This window comes from Homo sapiens, chromosome 5 (genome assembly GCF_000001405.40).
Source record: "Homo sapiens chromosome 5, GRCh38.p14 Primary Assembly".
In the NCBI taxonomy this organism is placed as follows: Eukaryota; Metazoa; Chordata; class Mammalia; order Primates; family Hominidae; genus Homo; species Homo sapiens.
This window is the reverse complement of record NC_000005.10, coordinates 95,004,596-95,025,814: the sequence shown is the minus strand read 5'-3', so window position 1 is coordinate 95,025,814 and position 21,219 is coordinate 95,004,596. Positions and strand designations below refer to the sequence as shown.

Below are 21,219 nucleotides of genomic sequence, written 5' to 3'. Positions count from 1 at the left end.
CTTGAGGGGCTGTTGGGAAAAGAAAAATTGATTATCAGGCTGGGTCCTACCCTCAGATTCCTGAAGTCCAGCCAGAGCCACTAGTCTATCTAAAATGAGGGAAGGAGGAGTTGAGCATAAGGAAATTTGGCATCACCATGTATGGTAATGACTCCAGTTCAAGCAAGACAAGAAGGCCTTCTGCAAAAATGGTGGCTTGCTGAGATAGAAGATGTGAATGCTCTTGTTATTAACTACTCTTCCATGATTTTTTCTGACTTTCCTGTAAGTGACCTGATAAGGCTGTGAATTTATCCTGTGTTATAATCTGCAACTTAAAACTTTGTACTTTGCATCTGATTTTTGGCTTTAGCCCCCAAACTTTTGAGTATTACCATAGAAACTTCTTAATTTTCAAACTGTGCCTAGAACTCTGAATTTTCAATTTTGAGCTTTTTTCATTGTCTGCAGGTGGATATATAGTTTTTCCAACTCCATTTATTAAAGAGACTGTACTTTCCCCATTGTGTATTCTTGACACCTCTATCAAAACTCAATTGATCATAAATGTATCAGTTTATTTCTGGGCTCTTTGTTTTATTTCATTTGTTAGTATGTCTATTTTTATGTCAGTACCTCGTTGTTTTGATTATTATCACTTTGTAATCGATTTTGAAATCTGATAGTGTGATGCCTCTAGCTTCGTTCTTTTCACTGAAGATGGCTTTGGTCATTCAGGGTTGTCTATGACTTCATACAAATTTTAGATTATTTATTCTATTTCTGTGAATAACGTCATTGAAATTATGATAGAGATTGCATTGAATCTGTAGATCCCATTGATTAGTATGGACATTTTAACAATACTAATTCTCCTAATCCATGAATATGTACAATCCTTCCTTTCTTGTGTGTCATCTTCAATATCTCCCATCAATGTTCTATAGTTTTTAATACACAGATCTTTCACCTTCTTGATTAACCTACTCCTAAGTATTTTTTATGATATTGTAAATAGGATTGTTTTCTTAATTTCTTTTTCAGATAGTTTGTTGTTGGCATATGGAAATACCACTGGTTTTTGTAAGTTGATTTTGTCTCCTGCAACTTTAATGAATTCCATTATCAATTCTAACAGTTTGGGATGGCATTTAGGGGTGTGTGTGTGTGTGTGTGTGTGTGTGTGTATTTGAATGCCTTTCATTTCTTTCTCTTGCCTAATTGCCTTGGCTAGGACTTCTAGTACTACGTTGAATAGGGGTGTTGAAAGTGGGTATCCTTGTCTTGTTTCTGATCTTAGAGGAAAAGCCTTCAAATTTTCAGTGTTGAGCATGATGTTAGCTATGGACTTGTCATATATGGTGTTTACTGTGTTGAGAAACAGTCCTTATATAACTAATTTGTTGAGAGCTTTTATCACAAAAGAATGTTGAATTTTGTCAAATGCTTTTCATATATCCATTGAGATTATAAGGTGGTTTTTGGCCTTGATTCTTTGAATATGGTGAGCCACATTTATTGATATGCCATATCGTTTTTAGACTCTTATCTCACTCTTTATACAAAAATCAACTCAAAATGGATTAAAGACTTAAGCATAAGACCTGAAATTGTAAAACTACCAGAAGAAAAAAATCAAGGAAAGCTCTGTGACATTGGTCTTGGAAGTGATTTCTTTGATAAGACCCCAAAAGCAGAGGCAACAAAAGCAAAAATAGACAAATGGGATTGCATCAAATTGAAAAGCTTCTGCACAACAAAGAAAACAATTAACAGGGAAAAGACCATCCGTAGATTAGGACAAAATATTTGCAAGTCATACATCCAACAAGGAACTAGTGTCCAAAATAGACGAAGGCACTAAAAATAACTGCACAGATCATTAACTTCTTATAACTGCTAAATTCTGTGAAAGTGCCATTTTCTTGGTTACAAAAAGCAGACCACAAGAGCAGACAACTTAGATATATCATTCAGGATATTTAAAATTTCAGAGGTGAACCAAGTTTGTTTTAGAGCTTTTAATATATGTGAGCCTAGCACTTCAGATACATATTTCCTAAGATATCTTTATGTTTGGAAGCTTCATGAACACTTTTTTAAAGATACTTTACAATAAAGAAATACACATTTATTTCTAGCATCCCTCCATAATCAGCCTGCTGATTTTCTTCTTGGAACCACTATAGTGGGCCTGAAAGGAGATGTCTCTCTAGATCCACTAAAGTTCTTGATGTTCTTTTATGGAGTTGGGCGATCCCTGGAGCTGACAGAGTGGTGGCCTGGAGTTGCTTCTCCTCTCATTTCTGCTGTCTACCGTGGGTGTCACCATCCTCCCAGGAGCGCAGCTCAAACTTCTGTGTGACTCACCCACTGTTTCCCACATCTTGTCAGTTGGCAAATTCAGTTGATAGAATCTCTTCAAACTCTCAAATCCATCTTTTGTTTTTGTTACCACTGGTCAGATCAAGCTCTTGTGACTTAAACTGAACAGTTGTAAATCCTTTTAAATAATTTCTAGAACCATGGGATTTCTCTACTCTCATCCCTCTTACAGAGGGAAAAGGCCAGGGTTTTGCTCATTGCTGAAATCTAAGCATTTGGCCCAGAGCATAAAACATGTAAGGCAGTAAGTGTGTGTTCACTGGAGCCTGGTTCTATTGTTTCTGTCTTCAAAAGCCTGTGATGGTTTCATGTTGCCCACAGAGTGAAACCTCCTTAGCTGGGCCTCACTGTATATCAGTCTTCCTTTCCACCTTATTTCTCATACAATCTAGTGATGCGCTTTTTGATGATTGCTTACCATCGGGCTCATGTTGATTTTTTCTGATGCTCCCTCCTTCCAAATCTTCACTTGTCAAAGTCCTGCACATATTTTCAGACCCTGCTCCATGGTTATCTTTATGAGGCCTCCTGAGAGTCTTCTCCCATCATAATTGATCCACTGTCCTTCTCTCCCAATGACTTCATACCTTCAGTATATTACAGTCAGTCTTTTATTATAGCTCCTGAATGGACAGGGTTTCATTTTAAGTGCTAATTTTTATCAGTTGGTAATGGCTGCCTAGAGCACTGTATTGAGAAGGATTCTAAGGGTATACCTGGGTTCCTCAAACAGGGTGCCAAAGCAGATTGGATGCATTACATGAGTGTAGGAGAAGAGAGAGAACAAACTGCCCATGGATTCGCCAACTTTATTTAGATTCCCATTGATGTTTCTACTCAGCTGGATCAGGTGCTCGTAAAGATATCTTTCTATCCTTGTAGCCTCTAGCATAATTCATTTTCAATTTGAAGCTTAAATACTCTATTCCATGATTTTAAAGGTTCATAATTTAAAATGACAAATATGACATTTGAGATAGAATGTGGTAATGGAAAATAAAGATATAAAGTGCTAGTGAAATGGTCCTTGAAGACTGGGTAGAAAGACACGGGAAACAAGAAGGGAAGGCAGCCCTGGTCAAGAGTGAAGGACGAAGATACAAGTTTTTAAAGTGTAAGTTCTATTCTGTTAAGGAAAAATGATCCAGAATTTGTGGAAGAGAAGTGAAGGCTCAGTTTATAATGATAGGCTTCAGTTAGGTTGGTGCAAAAGTAATTGCATTGAAAGTAATGGTAGAAACCACAATTGCTTTTGCACCAACCTAATATATCATGGGAGCTATGAGTGCCTTCCTAAGAAGTACGGGTATACTCAAGTATGCTGACATATGATAGATGGTTTTGAACATAATCATGATTGTACATTAGAGTGAACAAATTCACAGTGCCAAGTAGAGTCTACTCTGGAAATATGAAGATGATTCAATGTTACAAAAATCTATCAACCAAAAATTCTGTATGATCTTATTAACATATGCTGAAAATCTATTGATAAAATTCAGCAGTGCTTTTTTTAAAGCACAAGTAAATTAAGAGAAGAAAAAGCCTAAGCTTCATAAACATCATGTTAAATTGTGAAATACTAAAAGGCATGCACATTATAATCAAATCTAATTCAGAAATGTTCACTGTTTTCACCATTTTTCACAGTCTTTAGAAGATAACACAATAAGATTTAAAAATAAATAATTGAAGTATTAGAAAATAAGAGTCAAAAAGGCATTATATACAGACAATATGATTTCTATACACAGACAACCCAAAATATGACTTGAAAAGTGACAGAATATAAAGTCAGTATACAAAATAATATTTGTCCATTATACTAGAAATAACCTTATCAGAATGGAAATGGAAAAGAATTATTCCTTTTACAATAGAAACAAAACCCATAAAATACCCAAGAATAAATTAAGCTAGATAGAGACGAAAGAAGAAAAATAAGATTGTATTGAAGGGCATACAACAGAACCTGAAATGATGGAAAGTTCTATTTTCCTTAAAGGAAAATACTTAATATCATGAAATTATAAATTATTCCTGTTAATCTAGAAACTCAATGCAGTTCAAATCAAAATTTTGTACTTTTTGTTTCATTTTTGGAAACTGACAATAGCTAACATTTATTGAGTGCTTACTATGTGCCAAGCACTATTTGTTTTTATTTTTTATTTTTTCACCCAGTAGTAAATAACAAACCAGCCAGGCAATATTTTAACATCTTATATGCGTTAATGCTCACAACCTGACAAGGAGGTAGTAGTATTAGTTTAGTCCCACTTTACAGGTAAGAAAATGGAAGCAAAAATCAGTTATGTAATTTCTCAAGCTCACACAATTAGTAAGTGGCAGGATTCGAACCTAGATGGTCTGGCTCAGCTAAACCAGCAAGCTATTTTGGCTTCATCAGGAAGAATACAAATGCGATAATAATCAAGAAGCTTTTGAAAAACAAGAAAGAAGGGAGCTACATATTCTAACAAATATTAGAATTTAAAGTCATTGTAATCACATGGTATAGTATTGACACAGAAGTAAGCAGATCATGGGGACTTCAGAAACAGATCCAACTGTATATGGGAACTTAATGTATTATAAAGGGAAAAAGGGCTTATTTAATGGGCAGTGTTACAATTCCAGGTGAGAACTAAGAAAACACATAGGTTCCTATTTCACGCAGTACACTTAAAATATATTTCACATGATTAGAAGATACATAAAACTTAAAAATTATAAAAGGAATTTTAAAATATATGAGAATCAATACATATTGCCATGATATGGAAAACATTATCAGGCAAGATAAGAAATACAGAAGTCATTAGAGGGGAAAAAAGGACAGCTTTAACTGCTTAATAGTTTCTATATGACCACATATACCATCTACAAAGATCAAAGAAACAAGATGACACTGGGAGGAAATATTTGCAATAGATTTGGTAGAGAAACTGTTCTATATGCCATTTTAAAAAAGACTAACAACACAGCAGAAAAGAGAACAAAGGATATAAATTAGAAGTTTGTAGAAGAGGAAATGACTACAGCAAATAAATATAAGTCCGGAGAAGTTATGTCTTAACTAAATGTTAAATTCTGAAACTGCAGAAGTGAAAAATCTAGTGTAGTTAAAATTATCTTTGGAAATTCCTTAACCTGCACATAAAGTATAATACATATTTGAAAATATAAAACCTGATACTCTACAAATTCTATGCATGCTAAACTTCAAGAAGCACTGAACATAGCAATGAAGACTACAGAATATACAGCTGTCTGAGCCTTCAAATTTTTCTGGCTTTAGAATACCTGTCAAAACAGTAGAGGAAGATGCAGGGCATGTAGAAAATTCTCCTTTTCCTGCAGATTTTATTCCATTTTTTACGAAGTAGAAAACCTATATAAGCTTAATATTTATGAATAGATTTGTTTATTTGGAAACAATGTGTATAAAAGAACCTAATGAAAAGCTTGAAACACAATTGGACCTCAACAAAGTTTGCTGGGTCTGAATTTAAATCTTGCTTATTAATTAGACCCACGTATACACTGTTCTTTGAAAAGTTGTTTAGAAAATCTTGATTGGCTTCCTTTCTTTCCAAGTTGGAATCTTCTGTATGGCTTAGTGAACAGCTGTCACGCTCTTGTCCTTTACACTGGTTTCAAGACTCCTCACCCATAGTTCTGGAAATATGTGCTGAAGGAAGATAACATGTTTTGTGCCCTAAACTTGAAAAAAATTAGAACAATTAGTAACATCCTAGACTGACTAAGGTGTGGAAAATAGGCACTCTTGTACACTTTTGATAGAAGCGTGAATTATGTAAACCTTTTGGAAAACCTTTTGGAAAAATTCATTCTGTAAACTTTTTCAAGAGAAATGAAAGCACCAGTCCTCTGTGGCAAACAAAGAAACTAACACAAATGTCCATCAATAGGAAAATAATGGAAGAAATTATGCTATTCCTACACTGGGAAAAAATATTGTGTCTCAGAAAAAAAAGTGGTTACTAGGGGTGGGGGCGTGGAAGGAAAAGAGGAGATGTTGGCCAAAGAGTACAGACTTTCAGCTGTAAGATGAGTAAGTTCAGGGGATCCAATACACAGCGTGGTGACTATGGTTAACAGTACTGAATTGTATACTTGAAATTCGCTTCAATGTCCTCACCACAAAACAAAACAAAAGGGTAAACAAGTGAGGTGAAAGATGTGTTAACTAACTTGATTGTGGTAATCAATGTACAAAACGTATGTATATTGAATCATCATGTTGTATATCATAAAATCATACAATTTTGTCAATTATGGCTCAATAAAGTTAGAACATTTGAAAGAGAAAGATCTGTATGTATTGACTAGAAAAGTGCCCATGATGTTTTTCTAGAAATTGTTGATAATAGACAAAATAGAATACTATCTTTGTTTAAAACTAGTGAAAACTGAAAGCCCAACCACAAAAAACCAAACCTATATGTATGTGTTTATGTTTGCATAAGACTTTTAAAAGTGTGAAAAATATTTCCCAAATTGTTGTCATTGGTGGCCACAATCAGATGGGTAAGGGAAGAGCAAGACAATCACTTTACTTTTTACTCCTTTGTTGTTTGAAGGCCTGATCCAAATGAGTGGTAATAGGAATTGAAAGAAAAAGACAATTGGGAGATGTCATACAGAGATGGAGTGGGGGGATTTGACAACTATTTGGATGTGGGTGGGAATCAAATGAAGAAGTCAAAGATGGCTCAGCGATTTCTAGGCTGAGTGACTGAGGAATCATTTATAGAAACAAGGATATCATGAGAAGGTGGAGTGAATTCTTTTTTATTGTTACCAGAGGAGAGACAGTGAGTTCAGGTTGTCAATCAAAGCTGTGCTGCCTCTTGTTTTAACTAATAATTGCTCCAACAGCAAAGCTATTTGCCTTGGTCTTAAAACCTCAAAAAAAAAAAATGCTGCTTTAACGAACAAATGTAGGGTATGTGAATTATATACCGTAAAGATTGTTTAAATGCTGCTTTATTGTTTCATTTTATGTGAATTATGGAATTAAAAGACTGTTGTCTGTTATTTTACCTCATCCATGCATATTCTGAGACAAAAGGACATTTCCTTTTGAATCAGAAAAAAAAATTATAAGAATTTAAATTAATCCCAAACACACAAAGAAAAGCTTTCCTATTGTATAGAGTGGCAGAGACTACAAAATATGACCTCAAGAATTTTTACTACATGTTTCATTTGTGTTGTTTTAATATCATTATTCCTCTTGTAATTCGATGCCTAGTAAATTATTAAGAGTATATTGTTGCTAAAAATAAATTCTATAGAGGCAGGCTCACAAACATTTTTAGATCTAGGAATAGCTGATGTACTTTTATTCCATAGAAAACAGCACTAGAAATTTAGCCCCATCGAGAATATATTTCTTGCAAATATTGCCAAAATGCTAGGTGAATTTATTTCTATATAATTAAATTTTATGTTGGGGCTGAAGCAGAAGTGCTTAATTCATAGGTATGAGCTGTTCTGCACAGATAAATGAGTCAGCAGTCACCTGAATCAATCATTTTAATTTTAATTTCCAGTTAGGTAGAACTCAACTGCTCTTGCACTCTTATTCTCCACTCATCATTGATTATGTTTTCACTTCAGACAGTATTTCTATGTTCATATTTCTTAGTTGAATTGTGTGGAGACTTCCATGGGAAATGTTTTTATATTCCATTTGTTATCCATAATCTGAATTAAAACAGGACATTTCTGTAACTGCCATGTTTTTGAGTCTAAAGAATTTCATAAATTTCAAAACCTTCAGAGAACTGAGTGATTATGAGACTGTATGAAATCAGAAGATTATTTATTTTATTGACTAATTCTTATAATTTGGGTTAAGCTATATATGGTCCCCCTTTAGAGAAAATAGAACAGAGATAATAAATTTAATATTTTTTATATTTCGTGTTTTCCAGAAAATAATAAACACTGCTGGAACCAGTAATGCAGAAGTCCCCTTGGCTGATCCCGGAATGTACCAGCTGGACATTACATTAAGAAGGGGTCAAAGTTTAGCTGCTCGAGATCGAGGAGGTAAGAGCATAAGAGCAATATCACCTAGAAGCTTTTTTATGTGTTTATGACAAACTTTGTTTTCCACGTGATTGCCTGAGTTATAAAAAATTAACTAGAATATAATTTTTAGAAGCTTGAATTCAAAGACACAGTTTGACACATTACTTGACTCCTGTGACCATGGTGGAAGACGTTTTGATGCAAGTTCCAAAACTCTGACTTATTCTCAACCCAGACAGCAAAGTCCCTATCAAACTGCTGACAAATTAGACTCTATATCATATGTAATTACTGACATAATTGGTTACATAAGTGAGGCATATATTTGAAGCCATGTCAGAACTTACCTTTTGGTAGACCTGAAATTCTTTTTGCTATATACATTTGCTCAGTTGAATCTGCTCACATTGCAGGACCCAGGACTAATATCTCTCCAAAACTTCAGAGATTCCTAAGAAGTGATCTTTTGAGGCCTGGTCAGATCTGGCAGTAGTCTCATGGTGGATTAAACACATTTTGTAGGGCATGACGAAGGATAAGATAAGGCAAATACTCTTAAGTTCCCGGATTCCAAATCCCAATGCAATCTCTTGATGAACGAGGATAGGCCACATGAGGGATTTCTTGAACCCAGGATAGAGGCAGGACCAAGAATAGACCCCAGATAGGCTGTATAGCATCCTTTGCACATTTTGAATATGAGCGCTGCAGGAGGTGGATACGTTGAGGGCCCTGAGAGCCCCCAATTCCAAAGGAGGCTGAGTTTGGATGTAACTCCTCCTGCCAGGAGGAAGGAGAGTCCCCAGGCCTTGCTAACTCATTGTCAGACAACCCTGAGAGTGCTTCTGGCACCATAGGATCCTGTTTTGTTCCTCCTACCCTATTTGACGTCATATTTAGGGAATAGAAGGAACCAGATTAGGGCTGCAATTTTAATTTGTCTCCTATATCTAAAGGAATAAAATAGAGAAAAATAATTTAATATAATACTAGAGTATTGTTTGACTAGGAACTGTGCAAATATTAGATTCAATTGTTAAGTAAAAACTAGCAAATATCAAACATTCTTGTCTGGGTGTGGTGGCTCATTCCTGTAATCCCAGCATTTTGGGAGGCCGACATGGGAGGATTACTTGAGGCCAGGAGCTTGAGACCAGCCTGGCAACACAGTGAGAGCTTGTCTCTACAAAACATTAAAAAAAGTTTAAAAAGACATTCTTAGTGAGGAAATATGTGATTGATAATATTAGAATTTAAAAAGATAGGAGACGTTTTCAAAATAACTGTCTGGTTTAGTAGCTAAGGACACATGTTTATTGAATTGAACTGCCTGTTTCCAAAGAAGACACAAATTAGATAAAGAAAATAATGCAAATAACAAAGTATTATTTTGCTATATTTACAGCGTATACAACTTTTTTTAGTTTTCAAAGTACTCTCAGTTATATCATTCAATCTAAAACAGAATTGGACTTGGCAACAGAAGATCAAAATTTTAGTCCTACATATGCCCCCAGCAATTTGAAATGCATATATATACAATAATTTATTGTAGCATTGTTTATAATTATAAAATATAGGCAATAATCTAAATACCCATAAATAGGGGAGTGGTTGAATAAACTATGGCATATCTACATGGCGGAATACTATGGAGCTGTAAAAATAAATAATGAAAATCTCTAGAAATTGATATGGAAAAATGTATAGGATGTGTTGTGAAGTTCACATAAGCGAAGTACAAAAGAGTATCAACAATATGCAACGTTCTATGTAAGAAAGAAATACATAAGAATTTGTGTGTTGTCTTCTCATTTCTACCAAAAGAAATACAGAAATCAAAAGCTAGAAACTAATGAAATCGGTAACATACAGAATGTAGGTAAATAACAGATGGCAAGAATGGGAGATGGGAATGGGGTAAAAGGGATGAAGAGGAAATGGCATTTATCTGAGTCAATTTTCTTAATTAATTTAAAGTCTTTAACTATGACAATATTTTAGCACCCCAAAATAGATAAATAATTAAAATCAACCAGGATGTGGGAGGAACCCATAACAATAATCTCATCTAAGGGGATAAGAAATAAAACCACTAACCGAAGTAGCTATGAAAAAGGGTATTTGAATTATACATACAGGCCTATTTTGGAGCTATTGCAGGTTCGGTTCCAGACCACCACAATAAAGAAAATATCACAATAAAGCAAGTCACACAAATTTTTGTATTTCCCAGTGCATATAAAAGTTATAATATATACCATACTGTAGTCTATTAAGTGTGAATAGCATTATTCATAAAAAAGCATGTCTAAAAATGTATGTACCTTAATTTTAAAAATACTTTATTGCTAAAAAAAATGCTAACAATCATCTGAGCCTTCTGTGAATGATAATCTTTTTGCTGTTGGAGGGTCTTGCCTCGATGTTGATGGCTGCTGACTGATTAGGGTGGTGGTTGTTGAAGGTTGGAGTGGCTGTGGCAATTTCATAAAATTACACAACAATGAAGTTTGCCACATTGATTTACTCTTCCTTTCACAAAAGGTTTATCTGTAGCATGAGATGCTGTTTGATAGTACTTTACCCACAGTAGAGCATCTTTCAAAATTGGAGTCAGTCATCTCAGACCCTGCTGTTGCTTTATCAACTAAGTCAATGAACTATTGTAAATCTTTTGTCTAAAGGAATAAAATAGAGAAAAATAATTTAATATAATACTGGAGTATTTTATGGCTAGGAACTGTACAAATAATAGATTCAATTGTTAAGTAAAAACTGGTAAATATCAAACATTTCAACAGTGTTCACAGCATCTTCACCATGAGAAGATTCGTTCTCAAGAAACCACTTTCTCTGCTCATTCATAAGAAACAGCTCTTCATTTGTTCACATTTTATCATGAGATTGCAGCAATTCAGTCATTATCATCAGGCTCCACTTCTAATTGTAGTTCTCTTGGTATTTTCACCACATCTACAGTTACTTCCTCCACTGAAGTCTTGAACCCCTCAAACCCTCAAGTCATCCATAAGGGTTAAAATCAACTTCTTCCAAACCCATGTTAATGTTGAAATTTTGACCTCCTCTCATAAATCATGGATTTTTTGTTGTTGTTGTTGTTTTAGAGACATGGTATTACTCTGTTGCCTAGGCTGGAGTGCAGTAGCACAAACATACCGTAACCTCCAACTCCTGAACTCATGCACCCTCTCGCCTCAGCCTAATGAGTAGCTAGGACTACAAGTTTGTGTCGCCATGCCCGGCTATTTTTTTTCTTTTTTTTGGTAGAGATGTGGTCTCACTATGTTGCCCAGGCTGGTCTTGAACTCCTGGTTTCAAGTGATCTTCCCCCTTTGGACTCCCAAGTTGCTGAGGATACAAGCATGAGACACTGCACCCAGCCAAGAAATGTTCTTTATGGCATCTAGAATGATGACTCCTTTCCAGAAGGTTTGCAATTTGCTTTGTCCAGATCTATCAGAGGAACTACATATAGCAGCTATAGCCTTACAGAATGTATTCTTAAATTATAAGCCTTGAAAGTAGAAATTACTCCTTGATCGATGGGCTGCAGAATGGATGTTGTGTTAACAGGACTGAAAACAATACTTATCTCCTTGTACATCTTCATCAGAACTCTCCGGTGACTAGATGCATTGCCAATAAGCAGTAATATTTTAAAAGGATTATTTTTCTTCTGAGCCATAAGTCACAACATTGGGCCTACTAAATATTTAGCAAACCATGCTATAAATAGATATGCTGTCATCCAGGCTTTTTGGCTTCATTTATAGGGCACAGGCAGAGTAGATTTAGCATAGTTCTTAAGGGCCCTAGGATTTTCAAAATGGTAAATGAGCATTGGCATCAACTTAAGGTCACCAGCTGCATTAGCCCCTAACATGAGAGTCAGCTTGTTCTTTGAAGCTTTGAAGCCACGCATTGACTTCTCCTCTTTAGCTATGAAAGTTCTCGATGGCATCTTCTTCCAATAGAAGGCTGTTTCATCTACATTGAAAATCTGTTGTTTAGTGTAGCAACCGTCATCAATTATCTTGCTGGGTTTTCTGAATAACTTGTGGCAGCTCCTTGCTCTTTCATGTCATAGAGATGGCTTCTTTCCTTAAACCTCAGGAACCAATCTCTGCTAGCTTCCAACTTTTCTTCTGCAGCTCCCTCATCTCTGTTCATAGAATTGAAGAGAGTTAGGGACTTTGTTCTGGATTAGGCTTTGGTTTAAGGGAACGTTGTGGCTAGTTTGATCTTCTATCCAGACCACCCACTTTCTCTATATCAGCAGTGAGGCTGGGTGGCTTTCTTATTCATGTGTTCACTGCAGTAGTGTTTTAAATGCCCTTCTAGATCTTTTCCTTTGCATTCATAACTTGGCTACCTGTTTGGAGCAAGAGGCCTAGCTTTCAGCCTGTCTCTCCTTTTGACATGCCATTGTCACTAAGTTTAATCATTTCTAGCTTTTGATTTAAAGTGAAAGACATGTGACTCTTCCTTTCACTTGAATACTTAGAGTCCATTGTAGGGTTATTGATGGGCCTAATTTCGGTAATGTTGTGTCTCAGGTAATAGGGAGGCCTGAGGAGAAGGAGAGAGATGGATAACAGCTGGTCGGTGGAGCAGTCAGAACACACACAACATTCACTGATTAATTTCTCAGTCTCCTGTGAGCACAGTTCATGGGGCCTCCCTCAAAACAATTACAATAGTAATGTCAAAGATCACTAATCACAGATCATCACACAGGTATAATAATAATGAAGAAGCTTGAAATGTTGCAGAAATTACCAAAAGGTGACAGAGACATGAAGTGAGCATATGCTGTTTGAAAAATGGTGCTGATAGACTTGATCAAGGTAGTGTTGCCATAAACCTTCGATTTGAAAACAAAAACAGAAAACAGAAACCCTTGGAAGCGCAATCAAACAAAGTGCAATGAAATGAGGTATGCGTATACTATAAAACTCCAGATAAAAAGAACTATACATAAATGTATGTACTCCAGGCCATGATTATTGATTCTGAAACTACTTAATGATATACCAGGAACAAGCAAATTAGTAAATATATTATAGACAATGACAGTCATGATTCTCATTGTTGGAGATAGTTACAAATATAGAAAGTAGGCAGTCTAGAATGAACCCTGTGGTGCTAAACAGGTGTCAGTATGATCTAATGATTTTTATTAATATATATACAGATATCTAGAAATAAAAATGTATGGAGATAGGTGTGTGTGTATATTTCCTAATCTGTCTGCTGAGAGGGCCTGGAAGCAGTAACAAAGGTATAATGACAAAGTAGCAATGAATACATTTGGCCACGTATTGGTTTCTCAATACAATTTCCCCAATAAAAGTAATCAAGGCTCCTGGAGAAATGGTTTATTTCAGGCCTGGGACAGGGAAAGTATAATATGAGCCTGGATCATTTTTGCAGTGCCAGAAAGTAAGGGAGTGCCCAAACATTGATGGCAAAATGTCAAAATCACATAGGAGCCAACTTAAAGGAACATTTAATGACCAAAGCTGGGACAATTTCAGCAAAAAATAAATAATGGTTGTATTAGTCCATTCTCACACTGTTATAAACAATTACCTGAGACTGGGTAACTTAGGAAGAAAAGAGGTTTAATTAACTTACAGTTCCACAGGCTTAACAGGAAGCATGACTAGAAGGCCTCAGGAAACTTACAACCATGGCAGAAGGGGAATCAAGCATCTTCTTCATGTCCTGGCTGGAGAGAGAGAGAGTGAGGGAGGAAGTGCCACACACTTTTAAACCATCAGATCTGGTGAGAATTCACTCGATATCATGAGAACAGCATGGAGGAAACTGCCCCCGTGATCGAGTCACCTCCCACCAGGTCCCTCCCCCCAACATTAGGGATTACAATTCAACATGAGATTTGGGTAGGGACACAGAGCCAAACCATATCAATGGTAATGATGGAGTAAAACCCATAGAATAAGATAAATATCTTTGAGCTGATAAATAATTGAAGAAATAAGTGGAGGAGAAGGTATAAGCATTTCTTATGGTAGAATTCCAATAAAAAAACGTGGAAGGGAGAATTGAAATAGAAAGTCACCTTTTAACAAACACCCCAGTAACAATAGTAGGCAAAATATCATCAATAGATGCTAAAATTATATGTGTACAGTTATGATGTGAAATAGAATTTTGCAGCATTTCGAAGTATTTCTCCATGAGCTGTGTAAGAATTACAAAGAGAAAAATAGAAACTTCACAATGGGGAAACATGGAGGACACCACCTTAACCAGGTGGTCAAAGTCAGAACTGAGAAGACATGCAGACATCACGAACTCCCTGACAGGATGCACTGAAAACAGCACGTCATTTCTGTGGCATTCTTGTCAAAGTGCAAAGCCTCAATGTAATCATGAGAAAACATCAGGCAAACTCTGGCAACATATGACATCAGTTATCCTAGCTAAGTAGCCCCTACCTTTTGGACAGTGTGTGTTTACTCTTGTTTCACCATTCCCTGTGCCTCCACAATTTTGAGTCTGGGTCTCACTGTGTGTGTGCCATTGATTTTCTTATAGTATCAAATTATTCACTGCAGACTTCTCCGCCAAAAAATACAAAAACAACTTTCAGTGGAATGAGAGAGCCATGTACTTTAAAAAAGGGACAGAAAATATTACTTTGTGGGAATGAAGAACATCCAGAAGTGTTTAAAATGCCAACTCCAATCCAGCTTCACTAGTGTACTTACTTGCCTGGCATTAGCGAAATTTTTATTGGGTAAAGATAAAAATAAGAAGAGATATTTAAATAGATAAAACAACCTGAGTTAAGGATTGATTAAATATTTATCTTTGACCCATCTATGAATAACAGATATGTTAAACATTCGATTAGATAGATAGTATTATGTCACTTGAGATTTGCGAATTTATATACATATAATTGGTAGGATAATTAGATGGAGATGGATAGCTTGAAATGAGAAGAAAAGCTAGGAAGCACTGCAGTCATGTAGAATATAATGTTGAGAGCTTGAACCGGAATTATGGGTGTGGAAATAGAGAAGGAAAGTAATATATAGTAGATGGTTCAGAGGAATGTCTGATAGGACTCGAGATCAATTGGATGAAGGGACTCAAAAAAAAATAACTATTAAGGTTTTAAGCCTGATGATGCCTGGAAACCATGTGGTGGTTGGAAAAAGATGAATGTAGAGAAAACACTTGTATAACTATTAGAATTAATGAAAATTGAACTCATCAATGTGTGACAAGGATGCCCTCACCTACTACCCAGCAAAATCAAAATGGTTATGCCCCCTATGTCTCATATCACCCTTGCACAGAACAGTGGAAGGGAAAAACTAATTTCCACCACAGCCACATTCACTAGAATGTGGTTTGGACTTCTCCAGAATCTCATTTCTACGTAACGGGCACTGAAGTGGCTCAGCAGCCAGAGCTGCCCATCATTCTTCCATTTCTACACCTATTTTCCAGAAACAACAACCAGATGGCTTCTTGAAGTGCTACTGCCTTTTTCTGAGTTTTATTGTCTTTGCTTTAAGCAGCATAATGAATTAGAAAGTACGTGATCTTTGGTAGTCTGACACACATAAGTTCAAAGTCAGCTTTCACATTTTGTTAGCTATGTGACTTTGAGTAAGATACACAATTTCCCTGCTGCAATTGGAAAGTTCCAGATTTAGCGAATAAAAATACATGATGCCTAGTTAAATTTAAATTTCAGATAAATAATGTATTATCTTTTATATATATCTTTTATATATATTCATATATATGAATATGTATCATATAATAACTGGGGCATACATATAGTAAATTTTTTATCATTTATTTGAAATTTAATTTAGTGTCACTTTATCTGGCAGCCCTATGAAATTGTGATGTACAGTTACTATTTTTAAAATCATTTATATTTTCATTAGGTTGGGTTTTTAGGAACTATACCTTTTGGCAGAGACATCTATATTATAATCTATCAGATTTTGAATATAATGTTTTGACATGGCTATCTGTATTGTTAAAAAATTTAAGAGCAATCTGTGTAAATATATCTGGTAATAGCCATTTTCTATCATTTGATTTCTTGAAATTTGGGTCATGGCGGATATAGTAGTTTCCTTGAGCTGCCTTAGCAAATTATTCCAAACTTGGAGGCTTAAAACAACAAAACAGTTATTATCTCAAACCAGGACTCCAACAATCAAGATGTGGTAAGGCAGCATTCCCTCCCAATGCTTCTCTCTCTCTCTCTCTCTCTCTCTCTCTCTCTCTCTCTCTCTCTCTCTCTCTTTCTCCCTCTCTCACTCTCACTCTTACCCTCACTCTCAGAGACAGGGTCACCCAGGCTGGAGTGCAGTGATATGATCATAGCTCATTGCAGCCTCAGACTCCTGGGTTCATGGAATCCTCCCACCAAGCCTTCCCAGTATCTAAGACTACAAGTGTAAGCCACTGTGCCCATCTGGGAGAATTCTTGACACTTTCAACTTCTGGTGGCTGCAAGCATTTCTTGGCTTATAGATGCATCACTGTAATCTCTGACTCCATCTTTGTATGGCCTTACCCTGTGTGTCTCTGTGCCTTATATCGCCCTTTCCTTTCTCTTTTAAGGACACCAGTCATTAGATTTAGGCCCCACTCTAAATCCAGGATGATCTCATCAAGATCTTTAACTTAATTACATCTTCAAAGATCCCATTTCCAAGTAAGGTTATGTTCATAGTGACTAGGGGTTAGGATTTGGACATATCTTTTGGGAGGACCCAAGTTAACACACTACAGGAAACAATTCCTTTTCTTCATGTACTAGGAACTAATTTAAATGATCAACAAAATGACTGACAAAGCCAGTCTCCCAAAAGATGGGGTATTTCCCTGCCCCCTGTGATGAACTCAATACATGAAACTGGAAGTGAGTGTCAAGCAGTGCATTCTTTATTCAATGACCATGAAATTGAGAAGTGAGAGCATAGCCCACAAATTGATTTCTCAATTGGTAAGGGGTGAGGGGGTTAAGATATAGGGTTTCTCCAATGAAGGGGTTGGACATTAAAAGCAAGGGGAAGAATAGGCATGTCTTCCAGAAATGGGCGGCCTTCTTTTTTTGTCATTTTATGGCTTCTTCTGGTCATTGTCATGGTAATTGTCATTGTGCTGATGGGAGCATTATTTAGCATGGAAATGAGGTTATAATGAAGCTTGAGGTCTTTTTGAAGTTGTTCAATGGCTACCTTGGTTCTAACTAGTCTCAGCTTGCCTAGTTACAAAGGAAACTTTTTATCACAGGCGTTCTGTTTCTTAAAGATAAGCAAAGTTTAGGCAGGGTAGAAATTCAGGCTACGTCATGTAGGCATTACACTGGGTAACAAAATGAACCTGTTTATTGTGATTCTATTTATAATAGCGTTAAAAAAATCCTGTGTTGAGTAGATTTAGAGAATCTCATTCACTCCACTCTGAAACTCTTCAAGTCTACTCTGTGAGTCTGATGTGTTATTGCTAAAGAAAAGTTTGCAAGTGTTGTGAGAACAATATTTTCAAGGTGGAATAAGAATGTAAAAGCCTGGGGAATGGGAAAGGTTTTAGAAGTTTACCCCCAGTGAAGTTTCACTTTTTTCACAGTGTACTGAAGTCTCACTAATTGAGAACTTCTACCAGATATAAGGCAGCCAGATCTGAGAAAAATAAATTGTAGGACATTTTTAAAAAAGCAATTCAATTTGATAAAACTGAAACATATTCTGTGTTTTAAGTGTAAACAAAGTCTTTTCCAAGTTAGAGGGCCTGTCAGCAATTTTATCCTTAGAATGTAATTTATGAAAGCTCAGAGAGAGTTATTCTCTGATTGAGGAAGGCATAGTAATATTTCTAGTATGTATTATGCATCAGGTATGATGGTTGGCATTTGCATATATATTCTCTGATCCTAACAAAATTGGTCATACGAGCAGCTGCCACCTTACCACATGTGCTCACGGTTTGCTATTCAGGTTCCTCTTCGTTTTCAATCCTTGGGAATTTTCTTTAGGATAGGATGGACAGTGATATCATTTGACTGTGTCCCCACCCAAATCTCATCTTGAATTGTAGTTCCCATAATCCTGTGTCGCGGGAGGGACCCAGTGGGAGGTAATTGAATTGTGGGGGCGATTACCCTCATGCTGTTCTCATGATAGTGAGTGCTCATAAGATCTGATGGTTATATAAGGGGCTTTTCCCCCCTTTTTCTCATTCTCCTCTTCCTGCCACCATGTGAAGAAGGAGGTGTTTGCTTCCCCTTCCACCATGATTGTAAGTTTCCAGCCATGCGGAACTATGAGTCAATTACACTTCTTTCCTTTATAAATTACCTAGTCTTGGGTGTGTCTTTATTAGCAGCATGAGAACAGACTAATACAGCCATATATCCCAGTTTTTCTGGAAGCAGTTGTGTTTTTTTACCTGTTGACTGACATAATTGTTAATAGTACCCCATTTTACTCTCAAAAGGGCTCCAGTTTCAGAGACGTGGAATATACTGATGCTTCCTAGAATAAATTTCATTAAAGTTCATCAGAAGATTAAGCATTATGGTTGATCCTTTTTTCCCAGGAGGAAAATGCAACTTGTATCATCAGAGAAAGTTTTGTCTCTGAGCAGGTTTCAGAAAGTTTTGTTGGCAGTCCCTTCCTTTGATTTATGCAGCCTTTAATGAGCTATCTTGATCAAGAAAAGGCCTGTCATGTTGTGTTTTTGTGCTAAAATCATGAATTGAACATGTTGCTAGTCAATCACTTTTTGCATTTCCTACAGTTGGTGGGAATCAGGTATAGCCTTGTTTTACCCAGTACAGACACAATTATTTCCATGCATTCTAATGTTATTTCTTTAAACAGTGTTTTGCCATTGGGAAATTTTTTAAAAATTAATTCACAGTAACTTAGTTTTAATGATAGTTATTTCATATAGTCTATGATCTTAAGCTTCTAATATACATATATATATATACAAATACACCCATACACATACACACATATATATACATATACATACATATATATACATATATATACACATACATATATATGTATATGTGTTTATGTGTATGTGTGTATGTGTGTGTATATACATATATAAAAGCTTCTGAATAATACATATATAGCGGGTCCTCAAATAACATCATTTTGTTCAAATTTGTTTTGTTACTACATTGATGAGAAAAAGAATAATCTATTCCCAGCCAGGCCACTGTCTGTGTGGAGTTTGCACATTCTCCCCATGTCTCCCTAGGTTTTCTCTCTGGGTGCTATGGTTTCCTCCCACATCCCAAAGATGTGCATGTTAAATGAAACTTGTCTCAGTCTTTGTGAGAGTGGGGGTGTGTGAGCACAACCTGCAATGAGATAGTGTCTTGCCCAGGGCTGGTTCCTGCCTTGTGCCCTGAGCTGCAGGGATGGGCTCCAGCCTCCTGAACTGGAATAATTGGGCAAATAATTATCTTACTTGTTTTATTAATCTTCCTTAAATGTATGTTATATTAATATGTTCCCACACTGCTATAAAGAACTACCTGAGACTTGGTAAAAAAAAAAAAAAATAAAGAAAGAAAAGAGGTTCCATTGGCTCATGGTTCTGCAGGCTATACAGGGTTCTCTTTCTGAGGAGGCCTCAGGAAATTTACAGTCATGGTAGAAGGTGAAGGGGAAGCAGGCACATATTCATCTGTCCAGCAAGAGAGCAAGAGAAGTGGGGAAAGTGCCACACCCTTTCAAACAACTAGATCTCTTGAGAACTCTATCATGAGAACAGCAAAGGGAAAGTCTGCCCCCATGATTCAGTCGCCACCCACCAGCTCCCTCCTTCAACACTGGGAATTACAATTTGACATGAGATTGGGGTGGGGACACAGAGCCAAACCATAATATTCCACCCCCTGGCCCCTCCCAAATCTCATGTCCTTCTCACATTTTAAAACACAATCATGTCTTCCCAACAGTACCCCAAAGTCTTAACTCATTACAGCATTAACTCAAAAGTCCAAGTCCAAAGTCTCATCTGAAACAAGGCAAGTCCCTTCTGCCTATGAGCCTGTAAAATAAAAAACAAGTTAGTTACTTCCAAGATACAATGAGTTTACAGACATTGGGTAAATGCTCCCATTAAAAAAAGGGAAAAATTGGCCAAATAAAAGAGCTACAGGACCCAAGAAATTCTGAAACCCAGCAGGGCAGTCATTAAATCTTAAAGCTCCAAAATGATCTCCTTTGACACCATGTCTCACATCCAGGGAAGACTGATGCAAGGGATGGGCTCCCAAGACCTTGGGCAGCTCTGCCCCTGTGGCTCTTCAGGGTACAGACCCCGCAGTGGTTTTCACCAGTTGGTGTTGAGTGCCTGCGGCTTTTCCAGGAACATGTTGCAAGCTGTTGATAGGTCTACCTTTCTGGAGTCTGGTTGCCCTCTCCTCACAGCTCCATTAGGCAGTGCCCCAATGGGGACTCTGTGTGGGGGCTCCAACCTCATATTTTCTCTCTGCCCTACCCTAGTAGAGGTTCTCCATGGGGACTCTGCTTTTGCAGTGGGCTTCTGCCTGGACATCCAGGTGTTTCCATACATTCTCTGAAATCTAGGCAGAGGCTCCCAAGCCTCAACTGTTGCCCTCTGTGCACCTAGAGGTTTAACATCACATGAAAGCTGCCAAGGTTTTTGGCTTGAACTCTCTGTAGCAGCAGCCTGAGACATATCTGGGGCCTTTTAGCATAGCTGGAGCTG

General features: G+C 36.7%; 1 protein-coding gene across 55 annotated transcripts in view; it reads left to right on the top strand.

Annotated features, from left to right (window-relative positions):
• The window catches only part of MCTP1 (multiple C2 and transmembrane domain containing 1), a 581,405-nt gene that overhangs the window by 259,280 nt on the left and 300,906 nt on the right, over nucleotides 1-21,219 (top strand). For all 55 annotated transcript variants that reach the window (XM_047417718.1, NM_001393537.1, XM_047417715.1 and 52 more), the window contains one exon: nucleotides 8,331-8,448. In XM_047417718.1, the coding sequence (XP_047273674.1) occupies nucleotides 8,331-8,448 (118 nt within the window). The remainder of the gene's footprint in view (nucleotides 1-8,330; nucleotides 8,449-21,219) is intronic.